This window comes from Homo sapiens, chromosome 2 (genome assembly GCF_000001405.40).
Source record: "Homo sapiens chromosome 2, GRCh38.p14 Primary Assembly".
In the NCBI taxonomy this organism is placed as follows: Eukaryota; Metazoa; Chordata; class Mammalia; order Primates; family Hominidae; genus Homo; species Homo sapiens.
The window spans coordinates 210,228,202-210,234,605 of NC_000002.12; the positions used below are offsets into that span (position 1 = coordinate 210,228,202).

Sequence of the window (6,404 nt, forward strand, 5' to 3'; positions counted from 1 at the left end):
ATTCAAGAGCTTTATTTATTTTCTTTCAAAACTAGCCATCCTGTGCTTATCTCAATTTGCTGCAAACTTCTTCAACTTCCCATCTCCTCTCTCAAATATATCTACATGCCCATCCTTCCTTTCTTTCAATCAAGAGAAAGAAGCATCTGCTCTGCGCAACCTCCACCTCCTGGGTTCAAGAGATTCTTCTGCCACAACCTCTGGCGTAGCTGGGATTACAGGCATGCGCCACCACGCCCAGCTAATTTTGTATTTTTAGTAGACACTGGGTTTCTCCATGTTGGTCAGGCTGGTCTTGAACTCCCGACCTCGGGTGATCCGCCCACCTAGGTCTCCCAAAGTGCTGGGATTGCTGGTGTGAGCCACTGCGCCTGGCCAACTCCACCTTTTAATACCCTTGATGAGACGGGACAGTGCTCTTGACCCCCTTTGCAGGCAGGAACTGGAGTGGCTCGTTTCATTCAACCCATCGCTGGCCACTCCTTGTGGGAGAGAGTATGCAAGCAACCAAGTGTGGAAACTTGAGTGAACTGAATGCTGGAATCCGCTGGGCATTCCTCTCTGGTGGGAGCAGGCTCCGTGCGAACCCTGTAGTGGTGTTCAAGTGTATTCAACCAATGCTCTTTCAGCTCTGCATCCAGGATGGCCAAGTGCCAACCAGCTTAGTGGAGGGTCAGGGTGGCAGCCCCTGCCCTCTCGGCACCTGGGTTCTTGCCCAGCATCCAGGAAGAATCAGGTCACATGAACTGTTTGAAAGGTGATGAATATGGAAGACTTTATTGAGCGGTGCCGGCTCTCAGTGGAAAGGGAAACTGGAAAGGGGATGGAAAGATGATCACTCCCTGAAGCCCAGCCATCTTCAGCTGGTCCCCTCTCTGAAGCCACAAGGTCTGAAGTTAGTCATGTCTACCTGTAGTCTCTGACACTCAGTTGTTTCTCTATTTGCTCCTCAGCCACTTGTATTATTGACGCTCAGCCACTTATATCACTGATGCTCAGCTGCTTGTGTTGCCATGCCAGCTGAAGTCTTTCATGGGCATAAGATAGAGGCAGGGGCAAGCCAAAAAGGCAACATTTGGGCAGAAAAACAGGGTCAGTTGTCTTCACTTAGGGTTGAGGTTTCAAGCTTAAGGGTGGGGTTTACCCAGGAGTCCAGCCCTTCTGTATCATTGGGAGTTAGGGTTTCTCAACATATGAATTTTCAGGGGGACATAAACATTCAGTTCATTGCAATAATCCATGTTTTCTGCTGATTTAAAATATGAACTCTATCATTTGCATTCCCTTATGTATTTAGGTCTATTTGTAGACTTTTCTATTTCACTCATCTGCTTGTCCGTTAATTCATTCAACAAGTATTTATTGAAAGCCTTATACATGCCTACATGCCAGGCGATCTTCCAGATATTATAAACAGAAATGAACAAAGCCCCCCCTTTTTTCTAGACGGAGTTTCGCTCTTTCGCTCAGGCTGGAGTGAAGTGGCACCATCTTGGCTCACTGCAACCACCACCCTCCCGGTTGAAGCGATTCTCCATTGCCTCAGCCTCCCAAGTAGCTGGGGTTGTAGGTGCCTGCCACCACACCTGGCTAATTTTTGTATTTTTTTAAGTAGAGACGGAGTTTCACCATGTTGGCCAGGCTGGTCTCAAACACAGCATATTTTTTAAACCTGTGGAACTTGTCTGTGGAGACGGACAAAAGCACATAAATATAAATCAGGTGCTTAGAGTGCAATGGAGCTAAGCCTGTATCTATTCACAAGCTAATTACCCACTGTTTTCATTATTTTGAACTTTGATCTAGAAAATGAGAGTTGGAAACACGGAGGAAAAGACAGAGAGAGAGTGAGGAAGGGAATTTTGGGGTGGGGGTGGAGGTGGGGAGAGTAAATGGGCTCAATCAACCAGATAATATTAGTATAATCCTGAACAAGTTGCTTATCTCAGATCTCAGATTTCTCAACTGAGAAATGGCAATACCTCACAAGATTGTTGTAAGGATAAAAGAAATGTTTGTAAAACACCCCACTCATAACAAACACTATTATCCTTAATATTTTTTTCCTTCTTATATTTTAGGTGGATAAAACCTTGTATGCATCAACTACCTCTCTTTCAAGATGGAATTTTCAGAACACATGGTCTGGGATTGGAGCTGGAGCTTGGAAATATTGAGTGGGTGAGAAAGACTTCATTGTTTTGTGACAGGTTATTGTGAAAACAGCCCACTTCTGCCTGAAGATCCAAGCCCAAGGCCTTCCTGGCCCCAGGGATTTTGGGATTCTTAAGAGCAAAAGAAGGAAAGAAAACATGAGAGACTTTGGTACTGGGTACGAGCATGAAAAGAGAAGGATTGGTAAAAAATATCTCTTGGGAGCTCCTGCTGTGATGCGAGGGTTAGTCCTGCCATCCCAGGGCAAACTTCATAAAAGAGGTCAGATCCAAAGATTGCAGAAGCCAGAAGAGACACTGCATCCTTCCTGGTTAGGCCTGGTTATGCCAGCTTCCTGGACTCTGCTGGCTGGTTGCCTCAATCCATGCCTCAGATTGGGTGGAGTCTACAGATTGAGGGCAAATCCCACCTCCTCCCAACCCCCACCACTAGGCCTATCTGGAAGACAGAAAAGAGCAGCAAGAAATCTCAGGGATTTTCTTTGATTACTCAGAGGGAAATAGTTTTCATACTCAGAGACTGATAGGCAGTCAATAACATTTGCTTTGTGAATTTTCACCCAGCTACTTCTGGATGAGATAATCACCTTTGCTGCTAAAGAAAATCTTAGCTCATTTTCTTCTTGGGGTGATGGTATAAGAGTTGATAAACAATTTGTAAGTATTTATCATCTGGCATATTTAACAAAATATCTTTGTGATCCATAAAGCAAGGCATAAATTACATTTGAAAGTGCATTCCATTAAACAAGAACATTAGAGAGAAAGAGAGAGAGAGAGACACTTTGGACCTTGATCTGTTCCAATGACATAGAAACTTGCTTTACAGATTGGCTTTCTCCTAGTGCACTATTGCAAAATTAGAGCTATACTAGAAACATCCTTAGAGTTTGATAATTGAATTACAGTGGAGAAAAATAAGGTTTATATTTCTTAACTATACCTTTGAATTTCTTACTACTACAGAGGATAATTTTCCTGGTCCCTGGGGTTAGTGGTGAAAAACTAATTGTTTTATTAAATTCATGCCTCATTCTTGTGACCCCAGATTTTCGAATTTGAATAGGAATGCAGTCAAGGGGTGAATTCTGACATCTTCATTCTTTACTTAGCTCTTAAAAGCCAAGATACTTTATATTACTTGTTTATACTAATCTTTGATCACAATATATTTACATTGCTGGCAAGTAAAGTCTCTTAATAATATAGCAGCAAATATTAGCTCTTCATTCAAAATTGTTATTATTCGGGAGTACTATACATGGTCTCTTACATTAGGATTTATGAAAGTAGGAATTAATTATGTTTATTTAATTCAAACAAGTGTTTTTCTCAAAGTAATGAGTGTTATGAAGGGAACTTATTTGACCACATACAACCCTGAGATTCTTATCTTTTTGGCAAATAGCACTAACTGTGGAAAAGCTTAAGATCAGTGGGGTTGTCGGTTTCCCCACACGTTGAGTTGATGATAGGTTATAATAAAAATATCAGACCAAATTCTGCCACTTATATAGGCATGTATTAAACATGTATTTGTAAGCAAGTATACAACAGTTCATAGAATAAGATAAAAACCTAGCTCTCTGTCCTCTTTAGTGCTCTAATGACTTCAAGCTGGCTCAACAATATTCCAGAGGCAAGATTCTATTACTCTTATAGTTAGCATCGGAAATCCAATGGATGGACACTGGATTCTTTGAGGATCAAGCTTGAGGTGCCAAGCATGGGATGCATTTCTGAAATATTTGAGTTTAATCGTATATCTTGAATACCACTTATTATTCCAGTGAGATCTGATTGATGATTAACTTATTGAACAAGTCACTAATTTTACCAATGAAAATATATTTCTGATGTTTACTTTGCTAATTAGCAAGACATCTGGGTTTGGTATACACATCTGGTGAGAGATGAAGGGCAGAAATTGAGGCACAGAAACAATAAGTGGTTTCCCTTAAGATCAGATAGCTAGTAAGTGTCTCAGCTTGTTTGTGCATCCCACAGTGAGGAGCCTGTGTTTTTTTAAATCTCTCTGGATTAGTTGTGCTGGTAAGTTCTCTAGAAGCAACTTGACTCCACTGTTTTGAGGGCAGAAATAAAATGAACAGGCTATAATTGAGGTTGTAGAAGAGATAAAAGAAAATCTGTGATGCAAGTAACTACACAGAGTCCTGTCTGTGAAATGCAGGAGGCTGTCCATAACTAAAGGCATCTACCTTTAGAAAGGCAGTATCAGATTGTCACTTATCTTGATGGTCATGAGATAGGGATGTTCTGGTTAATAAAATATTCTAGTTAGTAGAGATTCTCAGTAGACTCTATACTCTAATTTCTCATTTAAAAGAAATTGGACTCTTACAAAATAAACATGATATGAACCCAGAATTTAACTTACTATTTTCTTACTGTTATCCCAAAGACATTACATGATATTGAACACTTTGAGGTAATTATGGTACTGGGGGAGCATAATTGTTCCTACTAATAGAAACAAAATACTAAGGATTTTTCTAGAAACTCTTAAGAGCCATTTACCTGGCTAAGGATTTTTCTAGAAACTGTCCTTTCAAGAGCCATTTACCTGGAATAAAAGTGATGTGTATGATAAACAGTTGGCTATACAGACCCAAGATGAAATTCAAAATATGACTTCTGAAAATTCTGAATTCAAAATCAAGTTTTTGATACTTTAGGATCAGCTAGATGATCATCATAAATTTGTCTCCTTTCCACTTCAATTTTTTTTCATCTTCACCAATCTACACTATATTCAAGCCAACTTACCATTTCCCTTACTCCGTTTTCCCTGCAACTTCCCTAAGCTGTTAGTGTTATTGTACTACTCTTCTTTATGCCACTTAGGCTTGAATTCTTGGCCCAATTTCTCTCACTTCTGCATGAAGTCACCAAATGCCAGTGATTCTGCTTCTAACATATTTCAGACATCATTTCTGTCCATTCCCACTACCAGAAAGAAACTCTGTGTTAGTTTTTCTTTTACCTTTATTGACTTTTTATAATAGCATTTATGGCGTGTTGAATTGTGGCCCCCCAAAAATATGTCCAAGTCTTAACCCTGGTGCCTATAAATGTGACCTTATTTGGGAAAAGAGTCTCACAGATGAAATTAAGTTAAAGATCTTACCCTGGATTAACCAGGTAGATGCTAAATCGAATAAAAAAGTGTCTGTACAGGAAGAGAAGAGGAGAATCACAGAGAAGAAAGCCATGTGAAGATGGTAACAGACACTGGAGTCTGTAACCCCAAGTGTAATGCGACGGGTTCTCCACCAGGTTACTTAAGGGTGTATGTCCACTGCTTGAGCCCTGAAGACTGGGTGGTGAGCCAAGGTCATGGTGCTCAGCCAAGGAACACCATGTGCTGTGTTCCCTGAGAACACAAACATTTGGGAGAGTACCTGGGGACATACCAAGAAAAACACTCATCACACACAGAGAAGAAAAGCCAGAAAATTAGCTTAAAAGCAGCTTGAAGATGGGTGGGGTAAGGGGGTGTGTGGGGCAAATCTCCAGAGTTGTCCTGCTACCACCTAGGAATGCCCTGTATGTTAAGTCCTAATAAACTCACCTACTCATCAAGTTGGATTTGCCCAAGTCATTCTATAGTCTCTAGGCTCCTTCCCAGTTTGGGGGGTTGCATTAGTCCATTTTCACACTGCTATAAAAAAATACCTGAGACTGGGTAATTTATAAAGGAAAGAGGTTTAATTGACTCACTGTTCCACATGGCTGGGGAGGCCTCAGGAAACTTACAATCATGGTGGAACGTGAAGGGGAAGCAAGGCACGTCTTACATGGCGGCAGGAGGGAGAGAAGTAAGAGTGGAGGAAAAACTGCCACTTTTAAAACCATCAGATCTTGTGAGAACTTCCTTACTCTCACGAGAACAGCATGGGGGAAACCACCCTCAATGATCCAATCATCTCCCACCAGGTCCCTCCCTCAACATGTGGGGATTACAATTTGAGATAAGATTTTGGTGGGGACACAAAGCCATACCATATTGGGTGGTGGGGGACATTATATTTCCAAGCTTTTCTTTCAATACCCAAGCCAAGGAGTGCCTGGGGCCACCAGAAGCTAGAAGAGGCAAAATGTGGAGGAATCATTGCCCTGCTGACACTTTGATTTCAGATCTCTGGCCTCTCAACCTGTGACAGAATAAATTTCTATTGTTTTAAGCCACCTAGTTTATGGTAATTTGTT

The 6,404-nt window shown here is 41.2% G+C and overlaps 1 long non-coding RNA gene across 1 annotated transcript; it reads left to right on the top strand.

Moving 5' to 3' along the window:
* On the top strand, window positions 381–5,777 carry LOC124907972 (uncharacterized). The gene is made up of 2 exons (XR_007088064.1): window positions 381–888; window positions 2,082–5,777. It is a non-coding gene; the product is annotated as an uncharacterized LOC124907972 (long non-coding RNA).
* The last annotated feature ends 627 nt before the right edge of the window (window positions 5,778–6,404 follow it).